This window comes from Homo sapiens, chromosome 7 (genome assembly GCF_000001405.40).
Source record: "Homo sapiens chromosome 7, GRCh38.p14 Primary Assembly".
Classification (NCBI taxonomy): Eukaryota; Metazoa; Chordata; class Mammalia; order Primates; family Hominidae; genus Homo; species Homo sapiens.
In genome coordinates, this window is record NC_000007.14 from 108209008 (window position 1) to 108233444 (window position 24437).

The following is a 24437-nucleotide window of genomic DNA, read 5'->3' on the forward strand; positions in this document are numbered from 1 at the left end:
AGTATTTGTGGACACGCTAAAACTTCCCCAGTAATTAATTTCTGCGGGATAGAAACACTTTGAAGCTATGCAAATATCCTGTTTCTCCTTAAAGTTTCACCCACTAATTTTAGCATTCATTGTTTGATCTTGCCGGCTCTAGTTATTACTGTGGGATTCTAATATTGACTTTTCTATTTCCTTCATTATTCCTATATTCATTAACTGGGATTCTTTTGTGAGGAAGATTTGAACAAGTAAATTTTTAACCTGATTTAGATGCACTACCAATAGCAATGAGAAGAGAGTCAAGGTACCATGAATGTTGACATAACTTTACATTTACCATTACTAAAAATGTAATGAAAACCACATTTAATTAAAGTTTCAGGGTCTCTCATGAAGGCAAGAAGAATGGATTTTAAACAATATACCTTTAACTCTAACAGAAATGGTATGGTGGATGGCTCCTAATGCGTTTTTTGCTATACATTGGTAATTTCCAGAGTCTGCTTCTGAAACATGAATGATCTGCAAGGTTTTCTCAAAGTTCTTATAAACTGTCCTGTTTTTGGGTAGCATTCCATCTTCCTTTGCCCAGTAAATAATTGGGGTAGGCCTGATAGGATAAATAAATAATGATGTTACAAAAAAGGAATCCACCTATGACTACTTTTGAGGATGAATTTTCATGCAACTTTGTAACAAATCTTTATTAAAAAATCATAAGAAATACATAGATATTTTAATTAGCACCACACTTTTATAAATAATGCTCACAGTTTTACGTTTTCACATAATCAGAACTATACTAATTGATGGCACACCATAAACTTCGATGTCAATGATACAGTATGAATGCCAGCATGAGTTGCTTTACTGATGGGGCCTAATTATTTTTTTCAACGTTGTGACTAATAAGGAACTCTTGGAAATTTTTACATGAAGCTACTATGTTAATCAAAAGAATTACTATTATATTAATGATACTGAATTATAATTTTTCATCAGCTGGGATTAAACATGTACAGAGAAAAACTCATAAACATATCTATGACCATAAACCTTTGTATACATTTCCATATCAAATGGAATAATTTTCCTATTTTACAGCAGTCTATCTGATGATGTTAACTAAGTAATAAGGGAAAGAGCTTTTTTTCCTTAGTTTCATTATTAGTGACATTTAAAAATATTATTACACTAATTAAGAATAGATCAAACTTAGGTATTACTCATACCATTTGTCACCCAATGTTTTGTTTTGTTTTTTTTTTTGAGATGGAGTCTTGCTCTGTCACCCAGGCTGGAGTGCAGTGGCACGATCTGAGCTCACTGCAAGCTCCGCCTCCCAGGTTCACGCCATTCTCCTGCCTCAGCCTCCCGAGTAGCTGGGACTACAGGTGCCCGCCACCATGCCTAGCTAATTTTTTGTATTTTTAGTAGAGATGGGGTTTCATTGTTTTAGTCAGTATGGTCTCGATCTCCTGATCTTGTGATCCACCCGCCTCAGCCTCCCAAAGTGCTGGGATTATAGGCGTGAGCCACCGCGCCTGGTCCCAACTGTGTTTTTTATTGTCATGGAATATGGAGACAGATGAAAAGTCAGAATATAGGCTTGGAGTTAGAAGATCTTTAGAATTCCAACCCTGTCCCTGGATTTCTGATCTTTTTGAGGCTTAGTTTCCTTAGTTGCCTTAATAGGGATAATAATGCTTGACTTGAACTAATGACTTTAGAAAGTTTTCATGAAGGTAAAATAAAAATCCATTCAACACAAAAATTTCCTAAGTACTGAACTATACACCAAGCACTGAGCTGTGTGTTGGGAAGATGATGAAGAAAATATGGTCCAGGCCCTCAGGAAGATAACAATATTTGTCAATAGAAATGCAAGTGACTCTGAATAAGAACAGCTCAGCCCAGAAGGGATCATCATGGCAGATGGGAGGCAGAACTACATTGCAGCTCTGATGCGGATGGACAGAGCAGCATGTGGAGGCTTGCATCGTGAATTTTAGCTCCAGAATAACTGCAAGAACAAACCTGCTGAAAGGACTCACAGACTCTCTGAAGGAATTGGACTGCTCCTGCAGGACCCGGGAGATATCCCAAATACTGTGAGTGCCCAAACTGCAGAAGTGAAAAACTGGTTTGTGGGAGAAGTTTCTGACTTTACCTGGAGCTGAGTCAATTTAGAGAGCTGAGTGAAATACAGGGGTAGAGGAAGCAGCAGGAAAGGCCTTGGGAGCTCGCTGGGTCCCCAAGCAGGCCATTCCTGCCTGGCACCACAGAGATCCTTCAGGAGGGCAGCCAGAGGTGTGGGGAAAATGCCACAGGGAGAAGGAAGTCTCCAGCTGAACTTTATAACAATTTGAACCAGACGAGAAACCTCCTGGCCAGAACTCGGGAAAGGGCATGAATCCAGCATGCAGACTCCATAGGCTGGGGAAGAACTAAGCCCTTTTCTTTTGCCGCTGGGAGGTGGATAGTCTGGGGCAAGTTCTCAAGCCCCGCTCACCCACTGCCTGGAAACAGACTTGGGGCTGTTAGGGTAGGCACTGTGGGAGTGAGACTGGCCTTTTGGTTTGCGTGGGAGCTGGGTGAGGCCTGTGACTGCTGGATTTCCCTCGCTTCCCCAACAACCTGCATGACTCAGCAGAGGGACAACTTGCATGACTCAGCAGAGGCAGCCTTAATCCTCCTAGGTACACAACTCCATTGATCTGGGAACCTCACCCCCTCCCCCACAGCAGCCACAGCAAGACCCAAAGAGAGTCTGAGCTCAGACACACCTAGCCCTACCCCCACCTGAGGGGCCTTCTCTACCAACTCTGGTAGCTGAAGACAAAGGGCATATAATCTTGGGAGTTCTAGTGCTCCACTCACCACCAGTTCCTCTCCATACTACCAGAACTGATACTCTCTGGAAAGCACCTGGCAGGAGGCCAACCAGCACAAAAATAGAACATTAAACCACCAAACCTAAGAACCCTCACAGAGTCCATTTCAACCCCCTGCCACCTCCACCAGAACAGGTGCTGGTATCTATGGTGGAGAGGCCGATGGTTCACATCACAGGACTCTGTGCAAACAAACTCCAATAGCAGCCTGGAGATGGGTAGACTTGCCAGGTGGCTAGACCCAGAAGAGAGATAACAATCACTGCAGCTTGGCTCATAGGAAGCCACATCCATAGGAAAACGGGGAGAGTACTACATCAAGGGAAAACCCCATGGGACAAAAGAATCTGAACAACAGACTTCAGCCCTAGACCTTCCCTCTGACAGAATCTACCCAAATGAGAAGGAACCAGAAAACCAACTCTGGTAATATGACTAAACAAGGATTTTTAACACCCACCAAAGAATCACACTAGCTCACCAGCAATGGATCCAAACCAAGAAGAAATCCCTGATTTACCTGAAAAAGAATTCAGAAGGTTAGTTATTAAGCTTATCAGAGAGGCACCAGAGAAAGGCAAAGCCCAATGTAAGGAAATCCAAAAAACAATACAAGAAGCAAAGGGAGAAATAGTCTAGGAAATAGACACTATAAAGAAAAAACAATCAAAACTTCAGGAAACATTGGACACACTTATAGAAATGCAAAATGCTCTGAAAAATCTCAGCAATAGAACTGAACAAGTAGAAGAGAGAAATTAAGAGCTTGAAGACAAAGTCTTTCAATGAACCCAATCCAACAAATACAAAGAGAAAAGAATAGGAAAATATGAACAAAGCCTCCAAGAAGTCTGGGATTATGTTAAATGACCAAACCTAAGAATACTCAGTGTTCCTGAGGAATAAGAGAAATCTAAAAGTTTGGAAAACACATTTGGAGGAATAATCGAGGAAAACTTTTCTGGCCTTGCTAGGGACCTAGACATTCAAATACAGGAAGCACAAAGAACACCTGGAAAACTCATCTCAAAAAGATGTCCAGGCACATTGTCATCAGGTTATCCAAAGTTAAGATGACGGAAATAATCTAAAGAGCTGTGAGACAAAAGCATGAGGTAACCTATAAAGGAACACCTATCAGATTAACAGCAGAGTTCTCAGCAGAAATCCTACAAGCTAGAAGGGATTGGGGCCCTATCTTCAGCCTCCACAAACAAAACAATTATCAGTCAAGAATTTTGTATCCAGCGAAACTAAGCATCATATTTGAAGGAAAGATACAGTCTTTTTCAGACAAACAAATGCTGAGAGAATTTGCCATTACCAAACCACCACTACAAGAACTGCTAAAAGGAGTTCTAAATCTTAAAACAAATCCTGGAAACACATCAAAACAGAACCTCTTTAAAGCATAAATCACACAGGACCTATAAAACAAAAATATAATTCAAAAAGCAAAAACAAAAAATAAAAAACCCAAGGTACACAGGCAACAAATAGCACAATGAATGCAAGGGTATCTCACATCTCAATATTAACATTGAATGTAAATGGCCTGAGTGCTCCACTTAAAAGATACAGAACTGCAGAATGGATAAGAACTCACCACCAACTATCTGCTGCCTTCAGGAGACTCACCTAACACATAAGGACTCACATAAACTTAAAATAAAGGAGTGGAAAAAGTTATTTCATGCAAATGGACACCAAAAGCAAGCAGGGGTAGCTATTTTTGTATCAGACAAAACAAACTTTAAAGCAACAGCAGTTAAAAGAGACAAAGAAGGACATTATATAATGGTAAAAGGCCTTGTCGAACAGGAAAATATCACAATCCTAAACATATATACACCTAACAATGGAGCTCCTAAATTTATAAAACAATTACTAATAGTCCTGAGAGTTTTTAGCATGAAGGGCTGTTGAATTTTGTCGAAGGCCTTTTCTGCATCTATTAAGATGATCATGTGGTTTTTGTCACTGGTTCTCTTTATGTGATAGATTATGTTTATTGATTTGCATATGTTGAACCAGCCTTGCATCCCAGGGATGAAGCCGAATTGATTGTGGTGGATAAGCTTTTTGATGTGCTGCTGGATTCAGTTTGCCAGTATTTTATTGAGGATTTTTGCATCAATGTTCATCAGGGATATTGGCCTGAAATTTTCTACTTTCGTTGTGTCTCTGCCAGGTTTTGGTATCAGGATGATGCTGGCCTCACAAAATGAGTTAGGGAGGATACCCTCTTTTTCTGTTGCTTGGAATAGCTTCAGAAGGAATGGTACCAGCTCCTTTTTGTACCTCTGGTAGAATTTGGCTGTAAATCCATCTGGTCCTGGGCTTTTTTTGGTTGGTAGGCTATTAATTACTGCCTCAATTTCAGAACTTCTTATTGGTCTATTCAGGGATTTGACTTCTTCCTAGTTTAGTCTTGGGAGGGTGAATGTGTCCAGGAATTTATCCATCTCTTCTAGATTTTCTAGTTTATTTGCGTAGAGGTGTTTATAGTATTCTCTATACTCTATATGGTGGTAGTTTGTATTTCTGTGGGATCAGTGGTGATATCCCTTTTATCATTTTTTATTGTGTCTATTTGACTCTTCTCTCTTTCTTCTTTATTAGTCTGGCTAGTGGTCTATTTTGTTAATCTTTTCAAAAAACCAGCTCCTGGATTTATTGATTTTTTGAAGGGTTTTTCATGTCTCTATCGCCTTTAGTTCTGCTCTGATCTTAGTTATTTCTTGTTTTCTGCTAGCTTTTGAATTTGTTTCGGTTGCTTCTCTAGTTCTTTTAATTGTGATGTTAGGGTATCAAATTTAGATCTTTCCCACTTTGTCCTGTAGACATTAGTGTATAAATTTCCCTCTAAACACTGCTTTAGCTGTACATTGTGATCCTGGTACATTGTGTCTTTGTTCTCATTGGTTTCAAAGAACTTATTTATTTCTGCCTTAATTTCGTTATTTACCCAGTAGTCACTCAGGAGCAGGTTGATCAGTTTCCATGTAGTTGTGTGGTTTTGAATGAGTTTCTCAATCCTGAGTTCTAATTTGATTGCAGTGTGGTCTGACAGACTGTTATGATTTCTGTTCTTCTGCATTTGGTGAGGAGTGTTTTACTTCCAATTATGTGGTCAATTTTAGAATAAGTGTGATGTGGTGCTGGAAAGAATGTATATTCTGTTGATTTGGGGTGGAGAGTTCTGTAGATGTCTATCAGGTCTGCTTGGTCCAGAGCTGAGTTCAAGTCCTAAATATCCCTGTTAATTTTCTGTCTCACTGATCTGTCTAATATTGACAGCAGGGTGTTAAAGTGTCCCACTATTTTTTTTTTTTTTTTTTGAGATGGAGTCTTGCTCTGTCACCCAGGCTGGAGTGCAGTGGTGCGATCTCGGCTCACTGCAAGCTCCGCATCCTGGGTTCACGCCATTCTCCTGCCTCAGCCTCCCAAGTAGCTGGGACTACAGGTGCCTGCCACCATGCCTAGCTAATTTTTTGTATTTTTTTTAGTACAGATGGGGTTTCACCATGTTAGCCAGGATGGTCTCGATCTCCTGACCTCATGATCCACCCGCCTCAGCCTCCCAAAGTGCTGGGATTACAAGCATGAGCCACCGCGCCTGGCCATCTCCCACTATTTTTGTGTGGGAGTCTAAGTGTCTTTGTATGTCTCTAAGAACTTGCTTTATGAATCTGGGTGCTTCTGTATTGGCTCCATATATTTTTGGGATAGTTAGCTCTTCTTGTTGCATTGATCCCTTTACCATTATGTAATACCCTTGTCTTTTTTGATCTTTGCTGGTTTAAAGTCTGTTTTATCAGACTACAACTGCAACCCCTGCCTTTTTTTTTTTTTTTTGCTTTTCATTTGCTTGGTAAATATTCCTCCATCCCTTTATTTTGAGCCTATGTGTGTATTTGCACATGAGGCTGGTCTCCTGAATACAGCACACTGATGGGTCTTGATTCGTTATCCAATTTGCCAGCCTGCGTCTTTTAATTTGGGCATTTAGCCCTTTACATTTAAGGTTAATATTGTTATGTGTGAATTTGATCCTGTCATTATGATGCTAGCTGGTTATTCTGCGCGTTAGTTGATGCAGTTTCTTCATAGTGTCGATGGTGTTTACAATTCGTTATGTTTTTGCAGTGGCTGGTTCTGGTTTTTCCTTTCCATATTTAGTGCTTCCTTCAGGAGATCTTGTAAGGCAGGCCTGGTGGTGACAAAACCCCTCAGGATTTGCTTGTCTGTAAAGGATTTTTATTTCTCCTTTACTTACGAAGCTTAGTTTGGCTGGATATGAAATTCTGGGTTGAAAATTCTTTTCTTTAAGAATGTTGAATATTGGCCCCCACTTTCTTCTGGCTTGTAGGGTTTCTGCCAAAAGATCCGCTGTTAGTCTGATGGGCTTTCCTTTGTGGAGAACCCAACCTTTCTCTCTGGTTGTCCTTAACATTTTTTCCTTCATTGCAACCTTGGTGAATCTGATGATTATTTGTCTTGGGGTTGCTCTTCTTGAGGAGTATCTTTGTGGTGTTCTCTGTATTTCCTGAATTTGAATGTTGGCCTCTCTTGCTAGGTTGGGGAAGTTCTCCTGGATAATATCCTGAAAAGTGTTTTCCAACTTGGTTCCATTCTCCCTGTCACTTTCAGGTACACCAATCAAACGTAGGTTTGGTCTTTTCACATAGTCCCATATTTCTTGGAGACTTCATTCATTCTTTTTCATTCTTTTTTCTCTAATCTTGTCTTCACACTTTATTTCATTAAGTTGATCTTCTATCTCTGTTATCCTTTCTTCCACTTGTTTGATTCAGCTATCAATACTTGTGTATGCGTCACGAAGTTCTCGTGCTGTGTTTTTCAGCTCCATCCGGTCATTTATGTTCTTCTCTAAACTGGTTATTCTAATTAGCAATTCCTCTAACCTTTTTTCAAGGTTCTTAGCTTCCTTGCATTGGGTTAGAATAAGCTCCTTTAGCTCAGAGGAGTTTACTATTACCCACCTTCTGAAGCCCACTTCTGTCAATTCGTCAAACTCATTTTCTGTCCAGTTTTGTTCCCTTGCTGGTGAGTAGTTGTGATCCTTTGGAGGAGAAGAGGCATTCTCGTTTTTGGAACTTTCAGACCTTTTGTACTGGTTTTTCCTCATCTTTGTGGATTTATCTACCTTTGGTCTTTGATGTTGGTGACCCCTTCATATGGGTTTTTTGTGTGGACGCCCTTTTTGTTGATGCTGATGCTATTTCTTTCTGTTTGTTAGTTTTTGTTCTAACAGTCAGGGCCCTCTGCTGCAGGTCTGCTGGAGTTTGCTGGAGGTCCACTCCAGACACTGTTTGCTTGGGTATCACCAGCGAAGGCTGCAGAACAGCAAAGGTTGCTGCCTGTTCCCTCCTCTGGATGCTTCATCCCAGAAGGGCACCTGCCAGATGTCAGCCGGAGCTCTCCTGTATGAGGTGTCTGTCGACCCCTGCTGGGAGGTGTCTCCCAGTCAGGAGGCACGGGGGTCAGGGACCCACTTGAGGAGGCAGTCTCTCCCTTAGCAGAGCTCGAGCACTGTGCTGGGAGATCTGCTGCTCTTTTCAGAGCCAGCAGCAGGAATGTTTAAATCTGCTGAAGCTGCGCCCACAGCTGCCCCTTCCCCCAGGTGCTCTGTCCCAGAGAGATGGGACTTTGATCTATAAGCCTTTGACTGGGGCTGCTGCCTTTCTTTCAGTGATGCCCTGCCCAGAGAGGAGGAATCTAGAGAGGCAGTCTGGGTACAGAGGCTTTGCTGAGCTGTGGTAGGCTCTGCCCAGTTCAAACTTCCTGGTGGGTTTGTTTACACTGTGAAGGGAAAACCACCTACCCAAGCCTCAGTAATGGCAGATGCCCATACCCCACCAACTTAGAGCATCCCAGGTCGACTTCAGACTGCAGTGTTGGCAGCCAGAATTTCAAATCAGTGGATCTTAGCTTGCTGGGCTTCATGGGGGTGGGATCCGCTGAGCTAGATCACTTGGCTCCCTGGCTTCAGCTCCCTTTCCAGGGGAGTGAATGGTTCTGTCTCACTGGCGTTCCAGGCACCACTGGGGTATGAAAAAAAACTCCTGCAGCTAGCTCGGTGTCTGCCCAAATGGTCGCCCAGTTTTTTGCTTGAAACCCAGTGCCCTGGTGGTGTAGGCACCCCAGGGAATCTCCTGGTCTGTGGATTGCAAAGACCATGGGCAAAGCATACTATCTGGGCCGGAATGCACTGTTCCTCCTGTTCCTCATGGCACAGTCCCTCACGGCTTCCCTTGGCTGGGGGGGGGGGGGAGTTCCCCGACCCCTTGCACTTCCTGAGTGAGGTGACACCCCCACCCTGCTTCGGCTCGCCCTCTGTGGGCTGCTTCCACTGTCTAACCAGTCCCAATGAGATGAACCAGGTACCTCAGCTGGGAATGCAGAAATCACCCACCTTCTGCATCGATCTTGCTGGGAGCTGCAGATTGGAGCTGCTCCTATTCAGCCATCTTTCTAGCCACCCAGAATACACATTCTATTCAACAGCACATGGAACTTTCTTGAAGATGGACCATATGATAGGCCACAAAATGAGCCTCAATAAATTTAAGAAAATTGAAATTATATCAAGCACTCTCTCAGACCACAGTGGAATAAAAGTGGAAATCAACTCCAAAAGGAACCTTCAAAGCCATGCAAAAACACGGAAATTAAATAACCTGCTCCTGAATGATCATTGGGTAGAAAACGAAATCAAGATGGAAATTAAAAAATTCTTCGAACTGAACGACAATAGTGACACAACCTATCAAAACCTCTGGGATACAGCAGAGGCGGTGCTAAGAGGAAAGTTCATAGCTCTAAACGCCTACATCGAAAAGACTGAAAGGGCACAAACTGACATTCTAAGGTCACACCTCAAGGAACTAGAGAAACAAGAACAAACCAAACCCAAACCCAGCAGAAGAAAGGAGATAAGATCACAGCAGAACTAAATGAAATTGAAACAAACAACAAAAAATACAAAAGATAAATGAAACAAACAGCTGGTTCTTCGAAAAGATAAATACAATTGATAGACCATTAGCAAGATTAACCAAGAAAAGAAGAGAGAAAATCCAAATAACCTCATCAAGAAATGAAAAGGGAGATATTACAACTGACATCACCAAAATACAAAAGCTCACTCAAGGCTGCTATGAACACCCTTACACACATAAACTAGAAAACCTAAAAGAGATGGATAAATTCCTGGAAAAATACAACCCTCCTAGCTTAAATCAGGAAAAGTTAGATACCTTAAACAGACCAATAATAAGCAGCAAGATCAAAATAGTAATTAAAAAATTACCAAAAAAAAGTCCATGACCACATGGATTCACAGCAGAATTCTACCAGACATTCAAAGAAGAATTGGTACCAATCCTTTTGACACTATTCCACCAGAAAGAGAGAACCCTCCCCAATTCATTCTATGAAGCCAGTATCACCCTAATACCAAAACCAGGAAAGGACATAACCAAAAAAAGAAACTATGGACTGATATCCCTGAGGAACATAGATGCTAAAATCCTTAACAAAATACTAGGTAACTGAATCCAGCAACATATCAAAAAGATAATCCACCATGATCAAGTGGGTTGTATACTAGGGATGCAGGGATGGTTTAACATACACAAGTCAATAAATGTGATACACCACATAAACAGAATTAAAAACAAAAATCGCACGATCATCTCAATAGATGCAGAAAAAGTATCTGATAAAATCCAGCATCCCTTTATTATTAAAACTTTCAGCAAAATCAGCATGTAATGAACATACCTCAATGTAATAAAAGCCATCTATGTCAAACCCACAGCCAACATAATACTGAGTGGGGAAAAGTTGAAAGCATTCCCTCTGAGAAATGGAATAAGACAAGAATGCCCACTCTTACCACTCCTCTTCAACATAGTACTGGAAGTCCTAGCCAGAGCAATCAGACAAGAGAAAGAAATAAAGGGTATCCAAATTCGTAAAGAGGAAGTCAAACTGTCACTGTTTGCTGATGATATGATCATTTACCTTGAAAACCTTAAAGACTTCTCCAGAAAGGCCCTAGAACTCATAAAAGAATTCAGCAAAGTTTCCAGATACAAGATTAATGTACACAAATCAGTAGCTCTTCTATACACCAACAGCAACCAAGTAGAGAGTCAAATCAAGAACTCAACCCCCTTTATAATAGCTGCCAAAAAAAAAAAAATCCTTAGGAATATACCTAACCAAGGAGGCAAAAGACCTCTACAAGGAAAACTACAAAACACTACAAAAAGAAATCACAGACGACACAAATGAAAACACATCCCATGCTCATGGAAGAGTAGAATCAATATTGTGAAAATGACATACTGCCAAAAGCAATCTACAAATTCAATGCAATCCCCATCAAAATACCACCATTATTCTTTACAGAATTAGAAAAAAACATTCTAAAATTCATATGGAACCAAAGAAGACCCCACACAGCCAAAGCAAGACTAAGCAAAAAGAACAAATCTGGAGGCCTCACACTACCTGATTTCAAACTATACTATAAGGCCATGGTCACCAAAACAGCTTGATACTGGTATAAAAATACGCACAAAGACCAGTGGAACAGAATAGAGAACCCAGAGATAAACCCAAATACTTACAGCCAACTGATCTTCGACAAAGCAAACAAAAACATAAAGTGGGGAAAGGACACCCTTTTCAATAATTGGTGTTGGGATAATTGGCTAGCCACATGTAGGAGAATGAAACTGGATGTTCATCTCTCACCTTATATAAAAACCAACTCAAGATGAATTAAGAACTTAAATCTAAGACCTGAAATTATAAAAATTCTAGAAAATATCATAGGAAAACCCCTTCTAGATATTGGATTAGGCAAGGAATTCATGACCAAGAACCTGAAAGCAAATGCAATAAAAACAAAGATAAATACCTGGGACTTAATTAAATTAAAGAGCTTTTGCATGGCAAAAACAACAGTCAGCAGAGTAAACAGACAACCCACAGAGTGGGAGGAAATCTTCACAATCTATACATCTGACAAAGGACTAATATCCAGAATCTACAACAAACTCAAACAAATCAGCAAGAAAAAAACAGACAATCCCATCAAAAACTGGGCTAAGGACATGAATAGACAGTTTTCAAAAGAAGATACACAAATGGCCAACAAACATGAAAAAATGCTCAACATCACTAATGATCAGGGAAATGCAAATCAAAACCGCAATGCAATACCACCTTACTCCTGCAAGAATGGCCATAACCAAAAAATCAAAAAAACAGTAGATGTTGGCATGGATGCGGTTATCAGGGAACACTTCTACAGTGCTGGTGGGAATGTAAACTAGTACAGCCCCTATGGAAAACAGTGTGGAGATTCCTTAAAGTACCAAAAGTAGAACTGCCATTTCATCCAGGAATCCCACCACTGGGTATCTACCCAGAGGAAAAGAAGTCATTATACAGAAAAGATACTTGCACACGCATGTTTATAGCATCACAGTTTGCAACTGCAAAATCAGGGAACCAACCCAAATGCCCATCAATCAACAAGTGGATAAAGAAACTGTGGTATATATATATGTGATGGAATACTACTCAGCCATAAAAAGGAATGAATTAATGGCATTTGCGGTGACCTGGATGAGAATGGAGACTATTATTCTAAGTGAAGTAACTCAGGAATGGAAAACCAAACACTGTATGTTCTCACTGATATGTGGGAGCTAAGCTACGAGGACACAAAGGCATAAGAATAACACAATGGACTTTGGGGACTTCAGGGGAAGGGTGGAGGAGTGTTGAGGGACAAAAGACTACAAATAGAGTACAGCGTATATTGTTCGGGTGATGGGTGCACCAAAATCTCACAAATCACCACTAAATAACTTACTCCACTAAATAACTTACTCATGTAACCAAACACCACCTGTACCCCAATAACCTATGGAAAATAAAAAATAATTTAAAAAAGCTTAGCCCAGTCATCACATGGAACCATGAGAAATAATAAATTATGGTTCAAGCAAAAAAAAAAAAAGAAATGCAAGTGGTATTAATTGATTATAATATTGGTTTGGCTTGTTTGGTTAAGTAAGAAATAAACTGAGCATATGTATCTGATGAAATAGCTTCTAGAATTAAAACATGCTGTAAGTATAAAAATAAGTAGATTTTGAAAATCTATATACATGTGGAATCTGATAACATATTGATATTTCCTTATAGTCAGACTAATCTGCATCTCAGATGATATGAAGGTAAGAAGGAGATGGAGATGAAAGCATAGTTTCATAGTTTGAAATTATGAAAAAGCCATGAATTGTTTTGGAGGCCAGCTACTGTATTGAGCCATTGTCAGGAATTGGAAATATTTTGATTCTATAAGTCTGATGGCTGGTTGGTAAGTGATAGAGTCCCAATCTTGGTCTTACAACACTCCAAAGTTTTAAAAATTCTTTTGGGAGTATTGTGAAATTTCCAAATACCAACCATATTTTAGTTTTTTATGAAATATGTCATTTGTGGGAAAAGAAGTCATTAAATTGTGAGAATAGATACCTTCTGCTCCCAAAGGTTGGAGGCTGGCAGACTATGCCACTCTCTTACACCATAACGATGGAAACTGGGAGGATTTTTTTTTCTTAATTCTAGCAGAAGATATAGGGTTTTAACATATCTTTAAAAGGGGGTTTTGCTAGTTTTCCGTAGCTTGAGGAGCTGAGTAATGCATAGTATGATTTCCTGCCTCGGCCAGCGGAGGCCTCCACGTGCCTCCTGAAGTCAAGTTTTCCTGGATTCAGGAAGGAATGTGAAACCAATGAGTTGCCTGTCAAGGACAGCAGGGATCACATGTGAGGGCAGCACGTTTCTGAGATTCTATTCCAGGTTTTCAGCAGATGCGCCCATACCAATGGTGTTTGCTCTGTGTCAGGCAGAAGACAGGGACTATATAGAAATTCCTTGTAACACAGAGCTAACATCACAGTTGCTTTTGTATTTGGGCAAGGCCTCCCTGCAACTCCTGTCAAAGGCGCGTCAGTTCTGGGGTAGCTTCAATTTTGAAGTGTGCACAACTAAGTTATTTCAAAGAATCTAGGCTTGGCCTTGTGACCTGCCAATAGGAAGTAGGTGAAGGGACAGTGTGCTAGTTCTGAGGCTAGGATTTAAGAGGCAGGCCCTGTGCATGATGTCTGTTGTTAGGAGAATAAGCCAGGACAAGACTGCAAGAGAGATGTTAGCAACTTATGGCCATCAACTCAGATGCCCCAGTTAACAGCCAGTAGACCCCAAGAGCACTGCTGAGCCACCTAACAGATACATGAGCATGCTTAACTGAAATTAGCCGAACCTTGCTGGTTAGAGGACAACTGCTCTGTAGACCTCTTGACAAGTGATCAGTAATCAATAGCTATTATTTTTAAGCCACTAAATTTGAGGTGGCTGGTTACAAACTAGCAAAATAATATACTCTAATTATAATCATAGCAGTCACAAGGTGATTACTGATACTTATTTTAAGATACTACTACTATATTAACAAAATATTTTAACAATGAGACCTAATATTTCAACAATCATAAGGTGATTACTGATACTTATTTCAATAAGATTACTATTACATTAAAAAAATTATAACAATAATATGAGATTCATATGCCTACTTTGGAAATAATTACCAAATTTTTCTTGATGCTTGCTAGAATTAGTAGAAGACAATGACTCCTCCTATGATATTATTAACCTCTCTCTACCAACCTACTATATTTTTATAAGAAATGTACTTCAGGACAGAAAGTGTTAACTCACAGTCCTTCTGCAATGCACTCCAGTGAAAGCACATTTCCTCTTAATTCCTCTTTGTTACTTGCATTGCCTTCTGGAGTTAAAAATGTTGGTGGCCTCTCTCTACTTGATTTAGCTGCAAACAAGAAAATCAGTATGCATTACAACTTATAAATATGTATTTCTATAAACACTTCATTGTCAAAAAAGCTGTCTAAAATTCCAATCCCTTTTTAAGCTATTTAACATTAATTGTGAAATTTGTTAAGCTACATACACATACACACTCTCTGCGTTATAAGTAGTCATCACTTACTCAGTTACCCAGGAACAGAAACAATTTTGGTGGCATAAGCACTAATAATAAGGACTGTTTTCCTTTTGTATACTCCCTTAATTTGGGTTAGGTTTTTACAAATTTTCTGTGGGTTAGAAAATTTTCAATATGTTGACATGGAGAGGAAAATCATGTTATCAAACTACATTTCCCTTAGGATTAGTGCTTAGGTCGAAGCAAAAATTAACTGTCTATCTTCTGGAAGATGTTAGATTTTTATAAAGATATGGTTATAGAAGGGGTATTCTGGTTTACAGTGGGGACAACATTATAGCCAATACCACTGATTAATCATATTAAGATCCTCAAACTGTGAGGTTTATGGAAAACAAAAGTAGAGAGTTACTGACAGAGGTCTTGCAAATATTATGCCACAAAATAAGAATAATGGTGGAGTTAAATAAATGGAAATCATTTTCCTCAATAAAAAAATAAAGAGGATCCAAGTCAAAGATCTTAGGGATAGTTACACAGGCCATCTTCTTTTTTATGGAGGCCTTTCCAAAACATAGCCTTATCTTCTGAAGGTTTCTTAGAAAAACTTGGAGCAGAAATTACATCATCTTAAGGTTTTATAGCCCTTGAAGGTTTTCAACTCTTTAATGCATTATCTACTTGATGCTTATAAAAATTTAATGAAAAGGTCATATACTATGAATTATTCTCATTTCTCAGAAGAAAAAATTCAATGCCAGAAGATATATTACTTGAGAAAAATTAGTTTTCCTAAGAATTTAGAGATTGTAGCGGGGAAACTTACTCCTCTAAAATCACTTTGGGAATGGTCTTGGGGCCCATATTTTTCAGGAGTATATTCAAATAAAATAACAGAAAGCAGCAGTTGTGGAGTGTCTATCTTGGTCACTGATGAGACCTTAATGTCTTTTACTTATATCTCAAGGGTGAAAAATTAATACAGCAGAAATTCTACCTTATGGATAATTAAGAGGACCCTTTATCCAAAACCCATTATTTTCATTCATAGACTCTACTTGAGAACATTTCCCTTAAGGGAATCAAATTCATTTCTATCTAAAATAATGAAGGTAAATGCTCTACTTTTAAAAAGATTACTTCCATTGAAGACAGTGACTTGGTTTGACTTACTTTTAAACAAAACTAAGAGAGAAATCTCATTGCTAATTATATTGATAATGTCACATGAAAACAGATGACAAGTGTGATGATTTACTATGAAATCCCCTTAATGTTAGTTGCTAAAAGCTTTGATGAGTCAGTATTCTAGCAAGTTAATGCACCCTGCCAACTCTTACTTAGTTCACAAGAAAAGTTTGGAACAGAACAAAACATGGAAAACATAATTCTGAACGTACGTGAAAGGTTTTTCCAAATCAGTGAAATGGTTCTTTACACGCAAACAGTTACAACAGGTTTCATTATTACACATACATCATGGAAAATGCTCTAGTGGCATGCTTCAAAGTTTATAGGTAAATTTCATAAGAAACATACATTTATACTAGTGGTATTTAACATATAACTAGAAATCTCATAAAGAAATAAGGTTAAATAGTCATGGAGGTGAAGTTAGTGAACTAAATTCTACAATGAAGGAGAGAATATCAGTTACAATCACCATAACTCACCACCATAAAACTCAGTGTCACTCAAATTAGCAGCTATAGTGTCATTCAATTCATCCACTGAAATAAACAGAATATTATGAAGAGGGCATAAAAGTGGGGGAGAAGGGTCAAAAAGTATTGGGCAATAAAAGCAAACATATGCAGCTATCCTGACCGAGTGCTGTTCCTATCAAGTAAAAACAGTGCTTTACATTGTACATGACTAACTCATTAATTTACTCAGCCACCCCCACCAGGAATATGCAGACATTTAACTTAAGCTGCAGGACCGCCAATAAGAGGCACTGTGGAGCATAAAGCACACATAAATGCTCAGAACACCAGGTGGTTCAGAAGGTTATCATGGAACCAGTCATGACAATAAAAGCAAAAAATGTAAAATCCAATATTAAGGGTATGCACAATCTTTATAACATATATGCCAACACTTTAGTGAGCATTCATGGGTGGCTTCCTGATAATGAACCTGTTTACTTCAAAGTCAGTAGTATATAATAGTTTCTATATTTTGCACATATTTGTAAATGTCATTGAAGGGGAGATTTGGGAAGCTGAACTCTTACCTGAAATCACCTTCACAGAAATAGGTTGCTTCTGCTGTATGGTTTGAGTATGATTAAATCTAGCATAACAGATATAGTCTTCGCGGGTGTCCTCTGGGAGGACATTGGAAAAATAAAGGTCCCCATTCAAACCTTGAGAAACTCTCTCACTTTGTGGAAGTCTTTGAAAGGCTGGAGAAAGGCAGAGAGATATCAAGATTATTCCATCATAAAGTGGCTACCCTCCAAATTAGCAAGATAAATGTACCTACTAATAGGTCTGTGAACTTCATTTGAATATATTTTTTCTCTATATAGCTCTTTGGGTAAAAGCAAATAACTGTAAAAAAAAAAAAAAAAATACGTAACACACTAAAACTCTAACTCTACTTCCCTGACAGTAACTTCTCTGGGGTGGGGGCAGAGGTGAGATTAGAGTTATACAGTGAAATCTTTTTTTAAGCAAAAGTGAACAAAATATGTTTTATAAAAAGTTGGCGTGACTTTTCCTAATATCTGAGTCCCTAACTGTTAAGTACACATACACATATATCTTAGAAAATCATTAAGGAAGCTTCTAAAATTGTTAACATGGGTTGCATCTACACACAACATTCAGAAACTAAATACGTGGAGACCATCTAACAATGAGCTGGGTCCTGTGCTAGGCACTGGGCATGCCAGAGTCCCAGCCCTGTCTGAGCTCATCATCCAGTTGAAGAATCAGGCAGCAAATGGCCAGCTGACAGTAACTGGGTGTGATGATGACACTATTTATTTAATGCTGCAACCTGCCCCTCACAAGCCTCCCAAGCCCAGTTCCTCCACCTCCTCTACAATTCTTTTCTGAATTAATTATCACCTTCTGGCATACTACATATCTACTCATCATACATATGACTTATTGCCTATTTCCTGCACTAGAATTTAAGCTCCAGGACGGTGAACACTTTCATCTGTTTTGTCCACTGGAACAGTGCCTGGCCCTTCACGGGGCTCCTTTAAATGTGCACTGAAGGATTAAGTGAGTAACCATCAGCACTCTGACTTTCCAGTGTCAAGCATAATAATTTATTAGTACTTCCCCTTAGGTCCAGTTAAGGAACTATCTTGCCTTAGGTAGGAGGATTTTCTTTATCTTTTATGGACACATAATAAACTGTACATATTTGTGGGGTACAATGTGATATTTCAATACACATATACATTGTGTAATGATCAAATCATGGTAATTAGCATACCCATCACCTTAGACAGTTACGATTTCTTTGTTGTGAAAACGTTCAAAATCCTCTCTTCTAGCTATTTGAAATATGCAATGCATTACTGTTACCCACAGTCACCCTACTGTGCAATAGTATCAGAAGTTATTTAGAGGGAAGATTTTCTAAGTGGATGAAGGATGCAGGGAGGTGGAACGATTGATCTGTGTGTGAGTTCACACTTAGCCAGCTAATGGACATCCTGAAGCTCCTGACTTAGTCCACAGAGCCTTAACTGTGAGAGTTCTTCAGTTCTGTGAGGTGACAGAACTGAAAAAAGTCACACATCCCAGTGGCCTCAGGCCACTATGTCTCCTGACAGGGTTTTTGCAGTGTAAGTCAAGCAGGTCTGCTCCTCCTATAGCAGGTGCTTGATCTAACATTTCATGAAATGCAAAATTATGGTTAAAAGTCTGGAGCTCCCTCAGGCAGAAAAAGGCAGGAAAATGTGGAGGCAGAGCTTCAAAGAAAGAACATCGGTTCATCATGTTAATCAAATTATTGGTTAAGATGGGGGTTTGGTTGGTGGTTGCAAATTTATGGTTTTAAGCCATTAGTTCCCGGGAAAAGGACTGTTTAAACAATAACCCAAGCCGGGCTTGGTGGCTCATGTCTGTAATCCCAGCACTTTGGGAGGCCAAGGTGGGTGGATCACCTGAGGTGAGGAGTTCAAGACCAGTCTGGCCAACATGGCAAAACCCTGTCTCTACTAAAAATACGAAAATTAGCCAGGCGTGGTGGTTTGCACCTGTAATCTCAGTTACTCGGGAAGCTGAGGCAGGAGAATCACCTGAACCCGGGAGGCAGAGGCTGCAGTGAGCTGAGATTGTGCCACTGCACTCCAGCCTGGGTGACAGAGCGAGACTCCATCTAAAACAAAAAAAAAAACCCTCAGAAGAATTAGGTACATTTTGTTTAACAAAGAGTTTAAGACAAAAACATTTCTTGTCCTCTGTTTCTCCTGCTGTAGCAATAAAATAATAAATTGAAGGGTGTTGGCAGACCAAATGTTAGGCGATGGGACTTCATGAGGGTGGTGGCATTTTGCATTGCACTTGAAAAAAAATGTATGCAGATAGGAATAACTTAATGTCATCTTGCAAGAAGTATGCTATATAAATTTTTTTCTCATATTGCAGGTGCAATTCCATTTGAAAGGTCAGATGCTTCACCAACAGCCTAGAATGCATGTGAGTGGAAAAATTAGTTATGTATTCAGATGACTCTGAGACTTTACATGTGATATGTCTCTTTATTAAGCAAAAAGGTCATTATTTCTGAATAAGAACCAAGTACCAAATATTGAGCCTTATTTTGGCAGTGGTATTCGGAGAGCATTATTCTTAAAGCCATAAGTCACTTATTTACATTTGGCTTACTACTTATTTTTGCAAAATCTGTAAAAGACTAGATTTACTTAGCTATATATTTGTTTTTTATTTCTTTGTGTTACTTTACTTTCTCTGAGTGCTTTCATATAAGGAGAGCCAAAATGCATCCCAGAACTTAAAGTAAAATAAAAAAAAATTAAATTAAAAAATTAAAATGCAGATTAAATGTTAGAGGCAAATTTTCTCTTTAGTAATGTATATGTCTTGTGAGTGCACAGACAATCAGGTCACTGAAAATAGAACGTATTTCCTACAGATACTTTTAATTCATTCCCACCATTCCACCTAAAAGACTATTAACAGGGTTACCAAGAACCTCCAAGATGTCAAATTCAGTAGTCATTTTTTAGTTCTCATATTATCTGATCTCTCAGCAGCATTTGAAATAGCTAATAATTGTGTCTTTCAAAAATATTTTCTAAAATTATTATCATTATTTTAGGGATGGTGTCTCACTCTGCTGCTGAGGCTGAACTACAGTGATGTGATTGTAGCTCACTGCAGCCTTGAACTCCTGAGCTGAAGCAATCCTCCCATCCCAGCCTCTCGATTAGCTGGGATTACAGTGTCAGCCACCCTGCCTGGTTAATCCATCTTTTTGACACACATTCTTCACCTTGTCCCTGGGGACACCACTCTCTTTGTTCCTTTTTTCCTTCAGTGACTGCTTCTTCTCATCTGCTTTGCTGATTTCTCCATGAGTTCTTCACCTCTGGAGGGCTCCTGGTCTCAGTCTCCCAGACTCTGCTTTCCTGCTTCCCAGATCCTCTCATCTAGCCCAGGCCTCTAGGCAGGACTTACGCACTAAGGTTTCAAACATTGCTGATCATAGCCTGGAATCCTCCTTCTGACTCAGGTATCTCTGACTCTTGCTGGTGTCTTGCCATGAAATATCTTACAGGCCTCTCACATCCCAAACTCTGGTTTCTTAGTCTCCAAGCAGAACCATGTACTCCCTCTAAGGTAACACGCTGACCTATTGGCACAGGAAATTTTGGAAGGTGGAAGAGGCAGAGCAACAAACATGCCCTTGAGGACAGAAACAGGGGTAGACAAGTTTGAAATTGCCTAATGAATAGCTTCATTATATCTGCCTCAGTTTCCTCATCTGGAAAGTGGAAAAAATAATTGGACATGCCTCATAGGGTTGTTGTAAAAATTAATGAAATAACCCATGTTAAGCCCTTAGTAAAAGGCCTGACACTTGGTAAAGGCCCAATAACTATTAGCTATTGCTGGGGATTAAAAAAACTAACAGAAACATAACATATCCCCAACAGCTTGACTTCCTCCCCGCCATGGGTTTCTGGGAATGGCAATTCCATTTTATCATTTTGGAGTTGTTCAATCTCCAAAGGTAGTTATCCTTGATTCCTCTCTCTCATGCTCCCACCCCCACCCCAGTAAATCCTGGAGGCTTGACCCTCAAAATATATCCAGAATCTTACCATTTCTTACCCATTCTACTGCTACCACTCAAGTCCAAGTCACCAACAAATTTCATCTAGATTACAGCAGTGGCCCCAACAGTCTCTCTACTCTCTCTTTTGCCCGCTATATTCTCTACATATCAACTGAAGTGATACTGTTACTACTTATTTTATTTCAGATAAAGTCACTCCTTCAACATTTCCCTACTTCATTCCAAGCTAAAGCCAAAGTCCTTTCCATTGAGTCCTGTGACCTTTCTCACCTTCTCCATCACCCTCCCGCTCGGCTCCTTCATTAGTTCATTAGTCTGGCCACCTTGTCCTCCTTGCTTTTATTTTTACACACAGCAGAGATGCTCCTTCCTTAGGGGCTAGCACTAGTTTTCCCTTTCTACTCAGATATTTAGGGGCATGGCTTGCTCTCTCATTTCCTTAGGTCTCTGCTCAAAACTCTGCTTTTTTTTTTTCATAGAACTTATTGCCAACAAACACAGATTTTCTAAATGTACTTATTGCATTTATCATCTGCCTCCTTCCCCACTCCTATCTCCTCCCACTGCAAAGAATATAAGCAAGATACATAGTAAATGTCCAATAAAATTGAGTGAGTGAATGAGATGACATGTTATTTATTTTGAAGAGCAGCTGTTTTCCTGAGCATCTCTAAAACATTTTATGAATCATAAGAGGTAATAATGTATTATGACTGTAAACAATCCTAAGACTTTTAAAGAAAGAAAGTTCATATTATCAAAACTTACAATTATCCATCCAAAATATTATAGGTGGTGGTAATCCAATTGGGGGTCTGCAGGGAAGTACTAAAGACTGACCACTTTGAAGTGTGATTGGTTCAAGTTTTTCTTTGGTCCACAATGGTGATCCTATTAAATAAAAAAATAACTTCTCAGTTATTTCTGCATTGAAAAGTACAAAAAGAAAGCCCTACAAATAAAGGCAAACTGAAGTTTTGGAGAAATAATTTGTAATTTATGTACACTAAATTAATGAGAAAATATTTTTAAATACAATGTTAAAAGAAAAAAGTAAAAATTTAAAAAATGACAATTCTCATGCATTGCCACTGATAGTATAAATTCTCAGTCAGTGATTCCACAGCTGAGAATTTATACTACATACATCATCAGGAAGACAAACAGTTTTGACACAAGCATGTTCTTCACAAAAGAATGGAAAACATTTAAATGTAAAAAGATTTGCTAAATAAAGAATTACACATCTACACCTCTGAATACCATAGAGTATTATATAAGTACACTTATTTATAAGATCGCTATGGGAATATACACGATATGTCAATAAGTCAGAAAAGGTTGTAAGATAGTATTTCAGAAAATGAGCTGGTTTTAAACACATACATACATATCTGCCTAGGAAAAAATAGAAAGAATATTTCAGCAGTAGTTATTTCCTTGAATGGAAGGATTCATGAACAGTTTTTAAATTTCTTTTTTGTTTAATTAGTTTTTCTACAACGAACATGTATTATACATGTAATTTTTTTTAAATGACCAGAACTGAAAAATGTGACTGTTATTTAAATACATGCTCTTAAGGTTTTTGAGAGGATTTTGGTACTAACCATTGCAAAAAGAGCCTTAATAATATCAAGGTAGTGAGGACACTCCACTTCCAGTAAAATTTTGAAACAAAAATGTTTAAAGAAATAGCATTTAGACCTTGATCACCCATATCATACTGAATTTATTTCCATTTGGCTGTAGGAATTTCACTTTCACAGGAGATACATGAGAAATAAATAATTAGATGAACTCAGGGAAGAAACACTTTTTTTTTTTAACCCCAATGTCTTACACAGGACTTCTGTAAAAGATATATTGGATTGGTAAAGCATTGGACTAAGGAGCTTCCTAGGGTAAGGTGGAAAGGAGCAATAACTTTCATGCAAAACAAAGTCAGAATATTGGAAGCAATGCCACTGCTTTGTTGAATAGTATTTGGATGATGTCACAGAAGCTGAGTCTTGGAGCAATACTTTAAAAAGGGTCATGTTGGTTGACAAGTTTCCACTTACTGGATGGGCGGACAACAATGTTATTAGAAACTGCAGCTCCGCGTTCGTTCCTTGCTGTACACTGATAGACTCCTTCATAGGTCTCAGCTTTCCCTTCGCTCATGATGTTAATTATGAGCGTTCCTGTGCCAGGCTTCATGGTGACCAGAGGGTCTTTATCGATGTCAAAATGAGTCCCATTACGGGTCCAGGAAAAGCTGCCCAACACACGAAGTGTTAAGTGTATTAATGGTCCAGAAAAATGGGATTACCTTAACAAATTCCTAGCAGTTTTATGGGTTTCTAGAAATAATTACCAGATTTTAATATTCAGTAAGAGAGCAATAAGCCCTCATATCTAAAATGTTTCATTGAATCATGACCTGGGAAAAAAGGGCAGGCTATACATTTTAAGGTACCTGTCTTCTTTAGAACTAGCCCAAATTTGACTCAATAAAGAAATCATGCACACAAATTGCCTGTCATTTTTCTAAGAAAATAGAGGGAGCAGGTCTCCCAGGTACACTCTCTTAGAGCTTTATTAGCATTTTTACTGTAAACTCCATTGTTCACAGAGTTGATAACCTGTCTATAAAAATTTGCTTGGGGCTAAAATGTGACAAGACCTCTGCAAGTACTATTTATATATGATGAAAATTGATCAGACAAATTTCAAGTTACCAAATTGTGAAGTGTAGGTTGGGAGGAGGTTAAGAGACATCAGTTCCAGAGTGTCTTAAATGTTGCTTATTAAAAATAGTAACTCTACATAAAACATTTTGGGAATTTTTAATTCTAGAGATGATTTTGAGAATCCCTTGGGAGGTATGCCCAATTGTCAACTGAGATCCCTCTTTCTCCATTTTATTTTTATAAAAGATTGACTTATATAAAAGTCACAGTGCTCATGTAATTAAATACTTTACAACTAGTCACAAATCAATGATGGCCATGCTCATACAAAGGTACGAATCTCTAAACGTCACAGTGTTTTCTAGGATCACTTGGATTTCCCTTCCCACTGCTTATCTTTATAGCAGTTGTTGTCACAACCAGGGCAGGAACTGGTGGTGTGGATGCTACTGGCATATTGTGGGCAGGGGCCACGGATGCTGCCAAATATCCTACAATGCACAGGAC

The 24437-nt window shown here is 39.0% G+C and overlaps 1 protein-coding gene across 107 annotated transcripts in view, besides 5 other annotated features; it reads right to left on the bottom strand.

Moving 5' to 3' along the window:
- Positions 1 to 24437, bottom strand: part of NRCAM (neuronal cell adhesion molecule) — a 309072-nt gene that overhangs the window by 61359 nt on the left and 223276 nt on the right. For 58 of the 107 annotated variants that reach the window (NR_163870.1, NR_163871.1, NM_001371123.1 and 55 more), the window contains 6 exons: positions 23319 to 23515; positions 22024 to 22146; positions 17201 to 17371; positions 16638 to 16694; positions 14718 to 14829; positions 414 to 598 (listed from right to left, as the gene is read on the bottom strand). Coding sequence is in view for 102 of the 107 variants with exons in the window: in NM_001371123.1 (NP_001358052.1) it covers positions 414 to 598; positions 14718 to 14829; positions 16638 to 16694; positions 17201 to 17371; positions 22024 to 22146; positions 23319 to 23515 (845 nt within the window). In the remaining 5 variants the exon portion in view is untranslated. The remainder of the gene's footprint in view (positions 1 to 413; positions 599 to 14717; positions 14830 to 16637; positions 16695 to 17200; positions 17372 to 22023; positions 22147 to 23318; positions 23516 to 24437) is intronic. The other 49 variants (NR_163867.1, NR_163869.1, NR_163868.1 and 46 more) reach the window with 3 other exon arrangements.
- Positions 1431 to 1588: a silencer, noted in NCBI's record as "fragment chr7:107850882-107851039 (GRCh37/hg19 assembly coordinates)". NCBI's record gives its function as "represses an EF-1alpha promoter that drives an FKBP-Casp9 reporter gene in an ReSE screen in phorbol 12-myristate 13-acetate-treated (for megakaryocytic differentiation) K562 erythroleukemia cells {active_cell/tissue: K562(+PMA)}" and the evidence as "EXISTENCE:reporter gene assay evidence [ECO:0000049][PMID:32094911]".
- Positions 2094 to 3293: an enhancer, noted in NCBI's record as "P300/CBP strongly-dependent group 1 enhancer chr7:107851545-107852744 (GRCh37/hg19 assembly coordinates)". NCBI's record gives its function as "activates an origin of replication core promoter dependent on BRD2, BRD4, P300/CBP, MED14 and CDK7 cofactors, with strong dependence on P300/CBP, by STARR-seq in HCT116 cells {active_cell/tissue: HCT116}" and the evidence as "EXISTENCE:reporter gene assay evidence [ECO:0000049][PMID:35650434]".
- Positions 2434 to 3128: an enhancer, noted in NCBI's record as "H3K27ac-H3K4me1 hESC enhancer chr7:107851885-107852579 (GRCh37/hg19 assembly coordinates)". NCBI's record gives its function as "activates a minimal SCP1, AML or CMV promoter by ChIP-STARR-seq in primed H9 embryonic stem cells {active_cell/tissue: H9 hESC(primed)}" and the evidence as "EXISTENCE:reporter gene assay evidence [ECO:0000049][PMID:30033119]".
- Positions 2500 to 2699: an enhancer, noted in NCBI's record as "active region_26500". NCBI's record gives its function as "activates an Ori minimal core promoter by ATAC-STARR-seq in GM12878 lymphoblastoid cells {active_cell/tissue: GM12878}" and the evidence as "EXISTENCE:reporter gene assay evidence [ECO:0000049][PMID:35858748]".
- Positions 2820 to 3029: an enhancer, noted in NCBI's record as "active region_26501". NCBI's record gives its function as "activates an Ori minimal core promoter by ATAC-STARR-seq in GM12878 lymphoblastoid cells {active_cell/tissue: GM12878}" and the evidence as "EXISTENCE:reporter gene assay evidence [ECO:0000049][PMID:35858748]".